Source organism: Homo sapiens, chromosome 14, assembly GCF_000001405.40.
Source record: "Homo sapiens chromosome 14, GRCh38.p14 Primary Assembly".
NCBI lineage: Eukaryota > Metazoa > Chordata > Mammalia > Primates > Hominidae > Homo > Homo sapiens.
This window is the reverse complement of record NC_000014.9, coordinates 100,262,585-100,277,356: the sequence shown is the minus strand read 5'-3', so window position 1 is coordinate 100,277,356 and position 14,772 is coordinate 100,262,585. Positions and strand designations below refer to the sequence as shown.

The 14,772-nt window shown below is 43.5% G+C and overlaps 1 protein-coding gene across 1 annotated transcript in view; it reads right to left on the bottom strand.

The window, feature by feature from the left end:
* The window catches only part of YY1 (YY1 transcription factor), a 43,645-nt gene that overhangs the window by 5,432 nt on the left and 23,441 nt on the right, over positions 1-14,772 (bottom strand). Inside the window, exons 3-4 of the mRNA NM_003403.5 lie at positions 2,599-2,659; positions 709-867 (exon numbers count right to left, since the gene is read on the bottom strand). Coding sequence (NP_003394.1) covers positions 709-867; positions 2,599-2,659 — 220 coding nt within the window. The remainder of the gene's footprint in view (positions 1-708; positions 868-2,598; positions 2,660-14,772) is intronic.

Here is a 14,772-nt window from a genome sequence, read left to right as displayed (position 1 = left end):
GAGCTCACTGCTTTGCTAGAGAACAGCCTATTTATTTTACCAAACACTTTTCATTCCTGCCCTGGGTGAACTTTGTGGATATAGTCTAGAATCAGCAGGCAGGTTGGACAACCCCGAAAACCCAAGGAGAGCCCTCACGAACTGTTTAAAACACTTGGCAAAATGGCAAGTCTTCCTAAATGCAGGCTAGAGTCCTAGTGCTGCTGTAAACATTTCCAACAGTAAAATACAAATGATTAAGGGTTCTGGTGTCAGTTGTCAAAAAAGAACCACGTTAGATTTACTAGCTGCACTGCTAGTTCTTTCACTTATTTATGGGCTAAAGTATTACCTATACTTACACTCTAGAAACTTTATCAGTTAGTAATTATACTATTAACTACCAAAAATAAATTACTTCAATCCTGTAATGAATGAAGTAGAAATTGAGTTTTAGGTATGCTCTTCAATCCTGTTCTCCTCCTGCCATAAAGTGTACTCCATCAACACCAATACATTGCGTACCCAGTACCACAGAGTATAGACAAGGATGTCCAGAGCCCCGGCAACCCTTCTAAGCGACTCCCCAGGAGAAGTTTTGTTTCTCACCAAGGAGTAATAAGACCCTGAGTCTCTGGGCTGGCGCCTCCTGCCTCATCACCACACCACCTACACTTGCAGTGTTCAGACAGGCAAGGCAGTGTGGGGAAGAGAGGGAACTGGCTCTACCTGAAAGGGCTTCTCTCCAGTATGAACCAGTTGGTGTCGTTTTAGTTTTGAACTCTCAACAAAAGCTTTGCCACATTCTGCACAGACGTGGACTCTGGGACCGTGGGTGTGCAGATGTTTTCTCATGGCCGAGTTATCCCTGAACATCTTTGTGCAGCCCTTAAAACAGAGAAAGCAGCTTAGAAGTTCACATTGCAAACTGTTAGAAAGGATTCAACCATTTAACAGCCTTTACTGACATATTAAAACAAAACCACCTCCCCAACCCCCCATTTTAATTTTACTTAGTATTACGGTAGAACATTAATATCATTTAAGACAAAAAGCAGACAGCTGAAAAAGTCATCATTCAATGCAAACCCTAGTTTTACAGATGAGGAAACTGAGGCTTAGAGATGTCTTTAAGTAGACTTGCCCAAGGTCACACTACTAGTAGTAGCCAAACTGGGAATAGAACCCAACACCCTGGCTTCCAGCTCTACCACAGCCACCTCACCCGACTATGTCCCCCAAAATGAAGTAACAGAAGCACTGCTAAGCAAATGGAGTTAAAATGACGGTAGTCCACCACTACCTTTGGTGGCCCCATATTCTGTGCTGCAACAATGGACTGTCATTCTCCATCGCCTACTGTTCCCTCTTCTCTCTTTGCCTCTTTCCCCTTCTTGACAGAGAAAGAAGCAAGAGGGTCTCCAAGGAATGGCAACTACAGAAGAAATTTATTTTGTGAGACACTAGGAAAAGGAAGAAGCAGGCAAATTGATACCAGTGCAGGGCGGGAAAGGCAGATGGATGTGTGGCGCTCGAGAAGCATGTCCTCAACAATTTCTTCTGCAGTTGTTGCCCAGTAATGGAGTGAATGGGGAAATGATAAGACAGCATGACAGAAGGACAGCACAAGTCACTAGACAGCTCACAGGCAGAAGGGAGAGGGAAGCCCCAGTTTTTCCGCCTTTACCCCTAGGTTGAATTTCCATTTAGAAAATGGAAATTTAAAAAATTTAACTGGTACACAATGTATACATGCATTGAAACATCACACGGTACCCCATAAATATGTACAAGTATTATGTGTCCATTATAAAGAAAACTTCAGAGAAGCTAAAGGGATGGCATAGGCACTTCCAGCCTAACTGTTTTCAAATGCTTGTTATTTCGGCCCTAATGGAGATACGTTTACATTTCAAATCGCCACATCAAGAACGCTGACAAAGAACAGGAAGGACTTGCTAGTGCACAGTCATTACAGGGAAGAGACCGTGAAACTAAATGTAGCCTGCTCCGATTGTTCATTTTTAACATTCTTTATTCCACTCAATCTCTCCTACTTTGTTCTCTGTACCTATGTGATACTTGATTTTTCTGTTAGTCTCATATCCAATTAAGTTTGAAAATAGCCCCCAACAAATATCTCAAAAGTACTTTTCAGGTTATCCTTTTATTTTAAAGACTAACTACATTTGAAAACAATTAAGTGCCTCTCTAATCACACACAATTATTAAGTCTTTATTTGGCTTATTTTAGCAACATCCAAAATAATTTTCAAATTTCAGTTACAAGCCTACATTCCCATAAAGGTCAATAGGTGAGACACAACCCAGGATCTTAAGACGGACTTGTTAATATAATCCAAAAAGAAATGAAACGCTAACAGTAGAGTCAACACACAGTAATCAAGCAACGGCTCCCTGCAGTCATCCCATTTAACAGTATTTAAAAAGTTGCCTTTACTAAATAACAAAACTTCATCTCTTGGATTTAGAAACCGAAGATTCTAATTCCTTGCTTCATTTAAATTATCACAAGCAGAAACAAAAGTGCAAATTTCTTATAACTCTCTAAAACTTCATCAACAGTTTAATGAACACTCTCCCTCTAGCATTACTTACTTTATGAGGGCAAGCTATTGTTCTTGGAGCATCATCTTCTTTAATTTTTCTTGGCTTCATTCTTATCAAAAGAAAAAGAGAGACAGACAGATTTGTAGGAGTGGGTAGACTCAACTGGCATAAATCATATAGTCCCTAAAATGCTTTCCTTATAGGTACCCAAACTAAAATTATGATACATTTCCATGAAGCAGAAAGGATGAGACAACTTGCATTCACTAAGTACCAATGACTGTGAAGCACTCTTCCCATCTTACAGATAAGGATGCTCAGGCTAGAAACATCGAGTTGCCGCCTACAGTCTCATAGCTAATAAGCTGGTGCAGCTTAGAATGGCACTATGATCTGTGTGATTCACATACCTGTTCTTAACTCCAAACCCTTTAAAAAAACACAAAAAATCAACTCAGACAATCAGATGAATCTCCTTGTGAGAGGCAAGGGAAGATTTCCAAAGGCAGCTGCTGCGATGATGAAGGTGCCTTATGAAAAAGAAGCGGTGAACACAGGAGTGTCCTAAAATATCCATCTCTATACACGAAATGGGTCCAATTAGTACTGACACGAATGATCTTTAAAATATATCATTTTAAAGGGTACAGAAGAGTCCTTTTAAATCAAGATTTATAGATATTAAATATCAAATATCTCTGGAAGGACACACGACAAACCATTAGCACCAGTTACTTTGGGGAGAGAGCTCCTAGGGCCTGGTGGACAGATGGGAACACCACATACTCTCATACTGTTACCCTACTTCTGGATGGGGGCTTGGAAGTTCTCATTTGTACCAAGAGTCCTGGTAATGTGGTAACCGTCTGGCAGAGCCCCAGGTGAAATTACTGTCCAGAGAGCCTCCTGGTTTGGTAACTTACCTACCTGCTTCTCCACTGAATCAAGCTTTGGACTTTTGTCAAAACTTTCTCTCCAAATATTCCCTATAGATCTGTGTGTGGTAGGGGGGTGAGAAATTAAGCGTTCCTAAAAAAACTAGAGAATAAATTTAAATCTCGGAAACAGATTTTCTTTTTGTCCCTAGTTTTACCCCTCTCACACCCCTCCATGATGGTTCATATTTAATAAATAAATAAATCAGCCGGGTGTGGTGGGTCACGCCTGTAATCCCAGCACTTTGGGAGGCCAAACTGGGAGGATTGCTTGAGCCCAGGAGTTCAAGACCAGCCTGGGAAACACAGTGAGACTCTGTCTCTACAAAAAATAAAAAAATTAAGCCTGGGCAACATGGACAAAACCCTGTCTCTATCAAAAACAAATGAACAAACAAACAAAAAATCCCCCAAAATCAGCCAGGCATGGTGGTGTGTGTCGATAGTCCCAACCACTCGGGAAGCCGAAGGCAGTAAGATCACTTGAGCCCAGAAGGTCAAGGCTGCAGTAAGCCATGACTGTGTCACTGCATTCCAGCCTAAGTGACAGAACGAAACTCTGTATTGGATTTAAAAAAATAAATAAAATAATAATTTAAAAAACCATAGCTGGGCGTAGTGGCTCACACCTGTAATCCCAGCACTTTGGGAGGCCGAGGTAGATGGATCACTTGAGGCCAGGAGTTTGACACTATGTTGGCCAACATGGTGAAACCCCATCTCTACTAAAAATACAAAAATTAGCCGGGTGTGGTGGCAGATGCCTGTAATCCCAGCTACTTAGGAGGAGGCTGAGGGAGGAGAATTGCTTCAGCCAGAGAGGCGGAGGTTGCCGTGAGCCGGGATCGTGCCACTGCACTCCAGCCTAGGCGGCAAGAAGGAAATACCGTCTCAAAAAAAAAAAAACAAAAAAAAAACAACAAAAAACTAGCTGGGGGCCACTACTCTGAGTGAAGTAACTCAGGAATGGAAAATCAAACGCGGTATGTCCTCACTTATAAGTGGGAACTAAGCTATGAGGATACAAGTGATATAATGGACTTTGGGGACTTAGTAGGGAAAGAATGGTGTGGGATAAAAGACTACATACCGGATACAGTGTACACTGCTCTGGCGAGGGGTGCACTCGGACCTCAGAATTCATCAATATAGAATTCATCCATGTAACCAAAAACCACTTATACACCAAAAGCTATTGAAATTTTTTAAAAAGTCAAAGTCGAAAAAAAAAAAGCCCACCTAAGTGAATCCTTAAAAGCAAGAGCTAATTTACCACCACTCTTTTGTTACAAAAAAAATACTCCTTAAAAAAAAATTAATTCTGTGATCTTTTAAGTTTGTGAAGGCCCTAACAATGTCCTTCTTCACTTATAATCTGGGAAAAGGATGACCTGATCTGTAACCTGAACACATGAAATCATTGGTTAAACTTTCCAGCCCTAGGAGTATATGAGGAACAACAGATCTGGTAACTATCACTTATCTCCATGGAGTTGGTCCGATACTATACATATTTGTTATTTTAAATTCTACGAGAACATTTTCTCTTTTCCTTTTCTTTCTTTTTTTTTTTTTTGAGACAGAGTCTCACTCTGTCACCCAGGCTGGAGTGCAGTGGCGCTATCTCGGCTCACTGCAAGCTCCGCCTCCCAGGTTCATGCCATTCTCCTGTCTCAGCCTCCTGAGTAGCTGGGACTACAGGCGCCCGCCACCATGCCCGGCTAATTTTTTTGTATTTTTGTAGAGATGGGGTTTCACCATGTTAGCCAGGATGGTCTTGATCTCCTGACCTCGTGATCCGCCCACCCACGAGAACATTTTCAATTCAGTGTCCTCCCCCTTCCCAACCCTGTAGATATTCGTCCTTTCTCGTAAATGGATTATAGATTGAGCATCCCTAACATCCAAAATCCAAAATCTGAAACTATCTGAGTGCTAACATGATGCACTCGTGTGATAGGGTCACAGTGAAAACTTTGTTTCGTGTACAAAATTATTTAAAATACTGTATAACAGCCTGGGCAAGAAAGCAACACCCCGTCTCTAAAAAAAATAAAAAGTTAGCCAGGCGTGGTGGCACATGCCTACAGTCCCAGCTACTTGGGAGGCTGAGGAGGTAGAATCCTTTCAGCCCAGGAATTTGAGGCTGCGATCCAACTTCGGTGACAGAACGAGACCTTGTTTCAAAAAAAAAAAAGTACAGAATTGCCTTCAGGCTATGTGTATAAGGTGTAATGAAACACAAATGAATTTCAAATTTCGTATTTAAACCCGAGTCCTAGCCTTAAGATAACTCATTATGCATATGCAAAACCCCAAAATCCAAAGTGCTACTGTTCCTAAGCATTTTGAATAAAGGATGCTCAACCTGTAATACCAGTTAGCAAGTTTTTTTAAGTGCCTGTTGTAAACAGGACTCTGAACTAGCCTTTCTTATCTTAAATACAAATAAATCCTGGAGTTCTGGCCTGAGTTCACAAAATCAGGTAGAACAAAAGTTTGGTGCCACTGCGCCACCTTGAGGTTACATCAGTTTGGAAAATAACAGTGATTGATATGAAAGGTCTCTATTCCACTCAAACATTATTTATTTTTAATTTAATTTAATTAATTTATTTATTTTTTGAGGCAGAGTCTCGCTCTGTCGCCCAGGCTGGAGTGCAGTGGCGCAATCTCAGCTCACTGCAAGCTCTGCCTCCCAGGTTCATGCCATTCTCCTGCCTCAGCCTCCCGAGTAGTTGGGACTACAGGTGTCCGCCACTATGCCCGGCTAATATTTTGTATTTTTAGCAGAGACGGGGTTTCTTACCGTGTTAGCCAGGATGGTCTCGATCTCCTGACCTCGTGATCCGCCTGCCTTGGCCTCCCAAAGTGCGGGGATTACAGGCGTGAGCCACCGCGCCCAGCCTATTTTTTTTTTTTAAGTTTTAATGTTCCCAATTAAGAGTGAACACTTATTCTTTGAAAATTCTACTGAAACATTGTTTTATTTTGTTTTTGTAGAGATGTGGTTTCACCATGTTGCCCAGACTATTCTCAACTCCTGAGCTCAAGCAATCCACCTGCCTAGGACTCCTTGGAAACATTCTGTGTTGAGTGTGAAGATGGCTACATGACTGTTTGTCCAAATTCACAGAATAGTACATACATACCTAAAAGGGGGGTAGACTTTACCATATGCAAATTAAATCTTAGTAAACATGGCTTAGTAAGGTCCTCTCTCATACATTTTCTTTTCTTTTCTTTTTTGAGATGGAGTTTCACTCTTTTGCCCAGGCTGGAGTGAAGTGGTTTGATCTTGGCTCACTGCAACCTCCGCCTCCTGGGTTCAAGCGATTCTCCTGCCTCAGCCTCCTGAGTAGCTGGGATTACAGGCGCGTGCCACCATGCCTGGCTATTTTTTTTTTTTTTTTTTGTATTTTTAGTAGAGACGGGGTTTCACCATGTTGGTCAGGCTGGTCTGGAACTCTTGACCTCAGGTGATCCACCTACCTCGGCCTCCCAAAGTGCTAGGATTACAGGCATGAGCCACGGCACCCGGCCTCCCATACATTTTGCTAGAGTTATTCCTAGTAACTTAATTTTTTTTTTTTTTTTTTTTTTTTTTTTGAGACAGAGTCTTGCTCTGTCGCCCAGGCTGGAGTGCAGTGGTGCAATCTTGGCTCACTGCAAGCTCCGCCTCCCAGGTTCAGGCCATTCTCCTGCCTCAGCCTCCTGAGTAGCTGGGACTACAGGCGCCTGCCACCACACCAGGCTAATTTTTTTGTATTTTTAGTAGAGACGGGGTTTTACCGTGCTAGCCAGGATGGTCTCGATCTCCTGACCTCGTGATCCACCTGCCTCAGCCTCGCAAAGTGCTGGGATTACAGGCATGAGCCACCGCGCCTGGCCACTTAATTTTTTAAAAGATATTTTATCATGGAAATTTTCAAATACGCCCCCAAAGTAAAGAGAACAGTCTCAGGTACCATTTACCCAACTCTTGGTTTGTTATTATAAGTGGTATTATTTTTTCTTAAAATGTCATTTTCAAAATGTGTGCTAGTATTTAGAAATATATTTAATTTTAGAATGAGAGTTTAAAATGCATTTGGACAAATACCCTTGGACTTAAGGAGTAAGTGGAAGATTTAAATGCAGCCACTCTTAAGCTCCTTGGCAAATCATCCTCCTTCACACAGAGTGGCAAATGCAGCAGTATACGTTGGTACTTTTAAGATTTTATTTGAATGCCAACAATGAAAAAAGTCATTTTTCAAAAATATACTTAGGTTAAAACAGTGTTTCATTTTGCGAGTAAACAGTAAAAATCATATACTACCACTGAGAACATCTTCTCACCCTCCTCAACTATTCAGAAGTAACTAAGATTTAAGTCTTCCATTCACCAACGGACACTTTTGAACCCAGAGAGTCCTTTTGAACCTGGAGACAATGATGACAACAGCATAGACATTATGAATGAGGCAGTATGGGATGTGTGACTTGGAGGTGACTTCTACTAGCTGCATGACCTTGAGCAAACTGTAACTTCTCGGCCTCGGTTTCTTATTCTGTAAAAAGGTATAATGCTACCTACTTAAGAGCTGTATGTTAAGCACCTGGGAAATGATAGCTCTTATTACCATTGGCTATGTGTGAAATGGGTCTAGCTAAAAATGAGTTCATTCTTAACCACCCTTCGATAAAGGACTGAGAAACTGGAGAAAGCATGGCACTAGGAGGAACACACCCCTCAACGCAGTACATGTTATATGGAGGAGTCAGACACCCAACAACTCAAGTTTCCTGTCAAATAGAGAGGGAGAATACACTCCCAATGACATGACTGCCCGATTTATAATAGCTCATTCTGGCATATGTGGGAAGAACGTTGTAAAGATTGTGGACTTCAGAACCCAAACTTCTGGCACAGTATCAGCAGAGCATTGTGTAAACCGAAGTTCTAACCAACAGATCTGCAAATATCCCAGAAAGGGAGATGAAACATTTTTGGACAAGTGACTCTTTAATGAAAATAAGCCTCTTCCATACAAAACAAGGTTAGCTGACTTCCAGACCAGAACCATCCTCTGATCTGTGCTATTGGGACAGAAGTTCCTGCGTAATACGGCTGTCATTTGCAAGCATGATTCACCTCCCTTCTTTGTGAAAAGATAATATTGCCTTAGACAAATAAAGTTTGTTCAATGAATTATCTCTTAAATATTAATATTCATGTGATGATACTGAAGAGTTGTGAGGTATTTTCATCTCCATTATCACATTTCATCTATACATTAATATTGTGAAAGTCTCAGGGTAAGTAGTGAACAGCAACAAAAATACCCATTTGGGATTGGCCTAACCATTCTAATCTTTCTAGACCAAAGGTTTTCAAAGGTCTAACTTTATTTAGTGAAACACATACAAAGGTGGTCACTTTACAGGAAACAGAACTCACTGGACCACTCACTGACCACTTTTCAAAATGTTTACTGAACAGACATTTCGGGAAAAAAAGTCATCCATAGACTGTCCACCTTCCCAATGTCAGACTTTCCAATTAAAGTCATTATGGCTTATATTTTGCCCATGTGCGTATGTAACTGATTTACTAGGCAGTCTAGGCTGAGTGCAGCATGAGCCTGAAATACTCTTTGGACAGTTTCAAGTCCAGTCCAGCACCCCATCACCCCAGTGCACAGAGGAGACAGAAAAGCAGCTTACATTCTACCTTAAGCCAACAGCTGCGGCTCTAATGCCACTGTGAGTGCTGGGGGCGAAGACTGGAGGCCAGCAGGACAAGTTCTATGGGCCGTAATTAGCGAAGATGTGGTCTGGCCCCCAAGAGTTTAAAACTCTTGGTGCCTCTGTATCTTCTGCTCTCAGAGTCCCGGGCATCAATTCCTGAGCCTCCAGAAAATCCCACTCAACTGTTACACACATCCTCAAAACGTGAAGATCTAACAAAACAGGGCACCTAGGTGCAAACAGTTCTCACCAACACCACTGTCCAATTACAGATATTTGTTCAGATGAACATGAGCTTCAAGAGCTACTATGTTAGAGGCCGGGCGCAGTGGCTCACGCCTGTAATCCCAGCACTTTGGGAGGCCGAGGTGGGTGGATCACGAGGTCGAGAGATCGAGACCATCTTGGCCAACATGGTGAAACCCTGTCTCTACTAAAAATACAAAAATTAGCCGGGCGTAGTGGCGGGCACCTGTAGTCCCAGCTACTCGGAAGGCTGAGGCAGAAGAATTGCTTGAACCCAGGAGGCAGAGGCTGCAGTGAGCTGAGATCATACCACTGCACTCCAGCCTGGCGACAGAGCAAGACTCCATTTAAAAAAAAAAAAGCTACTATGTAGAATGTGGATGAGAGGGAGCCCAACCCTTGACCCACCTCACAGGGCCCAAACTCTGTAACTTTACTTTTTACACTGTCAAGGCGAGCAAGATTTCATTCTTTTCTATACACAAATGAAATCTTTTAACAGGCTAATAAAAGAAATGCTATTTACATTCATATTGTGATTATGCAAATATTATTTACTGTGGGGCTCAACAGTGTGCTAGGATCACACTTAATGCTCTACAAGTATACAACATAGGAGCTGCAAGGAGAAAATCTTCCCAGAGTCAGGTCAAAGAAGCTCTCTCTTTCAATACTGTCAAAATTAGGCCCCATTTTTCAGGCTACAGCTTTCTTTGCCCTACTCCCTCACCCCTTTTCATGGAGTTTCCGATTGCCTTTTCTTTTTCTTTTTCAGAAGACCCTTTTCCATACCACCAAGCTTCTTACTCACTCTACCCACTACTGAATGAAACTGACTTTTCCTTAAGAAATTCTTACAGCCAGCCAACTTTCTATTCTAAATGGAATACATTTTCCAGCCTGCTACACAGCTGTCCTCTTGGTTGTCGTGCACTAGGAAATCTTCCTTCTGATGTTCATCCTCATTTCGCTGTATTATATCTTCAAATTACCTCCTCAGAAAGGGTGCATGCAACATGAATCCTTGGGTCTCTAAAATTGTCATCTCTTGACCTTGTATCTGACTTGATAGCTTTGCTGGATCAATAACTCTATGTTTACAGTAATTTCTCCTCTCAAAGCATTGTTTTATTGTCTCTAATTATCCCCTGCTACTGAAGAAAAGTCTCATTCAGGTCTATCATTCTTTCCACTTGATGGCCTATCTTACTGAAACTTTTGGGTTCTTCAGCCCTGGTGTTTTGGATGGCTATCTGGTACCCGGGTGCCAGTCTCTGTGGGTGGTCCCTTTCTTAAGGAGTATGGTCTAAGGTAGCCATGTTACCTTCCCAACAGTAACATGTGTCCCTGGATTTTCTGCTCAGAAGACTGGGGACAAACTTTTAGATCAGCTGCTCCAATGCTCCAAGGAGGGTGAGCAGTGCCAAGGGTCACCAACACCTAATGGCTTTACTGCTCACCACCCATAGATTCCCTCTCTCTTCAAAACCTTTCCTTCAGCCCTCCGCCCCTCCACTGCAACTCCTTCACAATGTATAATCCAAAGAGGTTTTATTCCTCTCTCTCGTACCTCCTGAGTCTCCTTCTATTTGTCTGAATGATGCTTTTACTCTGCCACTGGGACCTCTTACCCTCTGACATGGTTTCGCTGCGTCCTCACCCAAATCTCAACTTGAATTCTATCTCCCAGGATTCCCACATGTTGTAGGTGGGACCCGGGGGGAGGTAACTGAATCATGGGGACCAATCTTTCCCATGTTATTCTCATGATAGTAAGTCTCACGAGATCTGAGATGGGTTTATCAGGGGTTTCCACTTTTGCTTCTACCTCATTTTTCTCTTGCCGCCACCAAGTAAGAAATGCCTTTTGCCTCCTGCCATGATTCTGAGGCCTCCCCAGCCATGTGGACACGGGAGAATCACAATTGTAATTTAAAGTTTCAAAAGGCCAGGCACGGTGGCTCACACCTGTAATCCCAGCCCTTTGGGAGGCCGAGGCGGGTGGATCATGAGGTTAGGAGTTCAAGACCAGCCTGGCCAAGATGGTGAAACCTTGTCTCTATGAAAAATACAAAAATTAGCCGGGTACGGTGGCAGGCGCCTGTAATCCCAGCTACTTGGGAGGCTGAGGCATGAGATCACTTGAACCCGGGTGGAAGAGGCTGCAGTGAGCCGAGGTCGTGCCACTGCACTCCAGCCTGGGCGACAGAGTGAGACTCCATCTCAAAAAAAAAAAAAAAAAAAAGCTTCAGTGTTCTGGTTTGGGGCTCAGAGTAGTCAGTATTTGGTTTGAGATGCTGTTAATAATAAAACATCCATGTTGGACTTGAGGTGGTTTTTAGGAAGTAAGTTGGGGCTGGAGTCATCTAATGAGCAGTGGCTAAAAGCATCAAAACGGTAAGCATGCTCTTACTCCTCCCCCCTGCCCCCAACTGAGCACACAGTCTGTTTCTAAATCTTTTCCATTATCTTTTGTAGTTTTTTTCTTTCTCTTTTTTTTTGGTGGGGGAGGCGGGGAAGGAGTTTCCCTCTTGTTGCCCAGGCTGGAGTGCGATGACGTGATCTCAGCTCACTGCAACCTCCCCCTCCTGGGTTCAAGCAATTCTCCTGCCTCAGCCTCCCTAGTAGCTGGGATTACAGGCGCCTGCCATCAAGCCCAGCTACGTTTTTGTATTTTAGTAGAGATGGGGTTTCACTATGTTGGCCAGGCTGGTCTTGAACTCCTGACCTCAGGCGATCCACCCACCTCAGCCTCCCAAAGTGCTGGGATTACAGGCGTGAGCCACCATGCCTGGTTCAGTTTCCTTCTTTTTTAGAGACAATTTTGCTCTGTCACCCAAGCTGGAGGGCAGTGGCATGAGCTCACTGCAGCTTTGACCTCCCATGTTCAAACGATCCTCCCACTCAGCCTCCCAAGAAGCTAGCTGCATATCACCAAACTGAGCTTTTAGAGATGGAGTCTCATCATTTTGCCCAGGCTGGTCTCAAACTCCTGGCCTCAAGCGATCCCACCTCAGCTTCCCAAAGTGTTGAGGTTACAGGCTTGAGCCACAGAGCCCAGCTGGTCTCTTGTAATTTCTATCACATTTATTCCTTTGTTATCTGACTGCCACAATTCTAACTCAGGCCTTCATTAACTCTTGTTCAACTGACCTCTCTCATTTCCTGTGCCTGTATGAATCTAGCCTGCACAGACAGCTGCAAAGGACTTCTCCCAAGTTAACGCTCTACTCACACAGCCCCTTCTCCCCAGCTCAAAGTCTGCAGTAGCTGCCCACTGCATATGAGAAATGTCTGCACAGCCTGGCCTAGGATTCATCGCCCTTAATGATCTGGTTCCAGTTTACCTCAACTCCAGTCATTTCCCTGGAAGCGCCCTAATTCCCAGTAAACCCTCCATCTCTATCAAAACTCTAGGGCCAGCTGGGTGCAGTGGCTCACGTCTATAATCATTTTGGGAAGCCAAGGTGGGTGGATCACTTTAGGTCAGGAGTTCGAGACCAGGCTGGCCAACATGGTGAAACTCCGTCTCTACTAAAAACACAAAAATCAGCCAGGCATGGTGGCATGCACCTGTAATCCCAGCTACTTGGGGGGCTGAGGTAGGAGAATCGCTTGAACCCAGGAGGTGGGGGTTGCAGTGAGCCGAGGTCATACCACTGCACTCCAGCCTGGGAGATGAGTGAAAATCCATCTCAAAAAACAAAACTAACAAACAAAAACTCTTGGGCCATGTGCAGTGGCTCATACCTGTCATCCCAACAATTTGAGAGACCGAGGCAGGAGGATCACTTGAGGCCAGGAGTTTGAGGCCAGCCTGGGCAACATAGTGAGACTCCATCTCTACAAAAAATAAAATAAAATAAAATAAAAAAATTAGCCAGGCATGGTGGCACACACCTGTAGTTCCAGCTACTCGGGAGGTGTGGCAGGAGGATTGCTTGAGGCTGTAGTGAGCTATCATCATGCTACTGCACTCCAGCCTGGGCAACACAGTGAGAACCTCCATGTATCAAACCACAATGGAATTCTTAACGCCCATTTGACAGGTGGGGAAACGAGCTCCAGGTGGCAGGAACTGCCCACCTTGTTTTCGGCAGGGCCAAGAAGGAAGCCAGGACACTGAACGGTCTCCACCTCTACCACTCTGCTCTCAAAAGAAAAAAAAAAAGCAACCCACTCTGTTCTTAGAATGTGCAAGATCAAAAGGATTTCTTTCTTCTTGATCCTGCCCTTGCCGAAATTTCCTGAGCTATTCCAGGTTCCAACCAACCTCAGGTATGGAAAGGCATTAGGCTTTCTGCTCCAGAGTTTATTAGTTCATTTAACTTAAAAGTTTACATCTTTGTGGTATTTTCAGCTCCTTGTACAAACTGCCAAACAGTACTAGAAAGTAACACAAAAAGTAGGCTTCTATAAGAACCCAGCCCACTTTAGGCAAAACAAACACACCCAACCAATGGGTTCAGAGTTTCTCCACTGCTCGCCATGTCCAAGCCATAAATACTTGATCTCCTCCTGTCATGCCAGCTTAAATTAACATACCAGGAGCTTAACTGATGACAAGACAAACACGAATTTATGAAATCCTTTCCAGTGGTCAGCTGGATGAGTCAAGTACAGACCCAGGTCTCCAGCAGCATAGACCAATACAACACACCCAAATTTAAAATGTGTACTACAGGCTGGGCACAGTGGCTCATGCCTGTATCCTAGCACTTTGGGAGGCCAAGGCAGGCGGATCACTTGAGGCCAGGACTGGTTCGAGACCAGACTGGCCAACAGGATGAAACCCTGTCTCTACTAAACACACAAAAATTGGCTGGGCGTGGTGGCACACGCATGTAATCCCAGCTACTTGGGAGGCTGAGGCAGGAGAATCGCTTGAACCAGGGAGGTGGAGGTTGCAGTGAGCTGAGATTGCACCACTGCACTCCAGCCTGGGCAACAAGCAAGACTCTTGTCTCAAAAAAATAAAAAATAAAATGTGTACCAAGAAGCCATAAGGCAGTGTGGAAGATATCTATTCCAAAACAAATTACGTGCAATTTTATTTACTCAAATGCAATGCCTATTTAAGGGTATTTGCTTCATCTTACTGCAAGGATCTAAAATGCTGCCACTCACATTAATAGCATAGTTACTACTAAAAATAAAACTGACTGTCAGAATTGCTTGAACCCGGGAGGCAGAGGCTGCAGTGAGTCGAGATCGCACCACTGCACTCCAGTCTGGGCAACAGAGCGAGGCTCCATCTCAAAAAAAGGAAACAAAAAACAAACAAATAAAACTGACTGCTTTTGTTTTC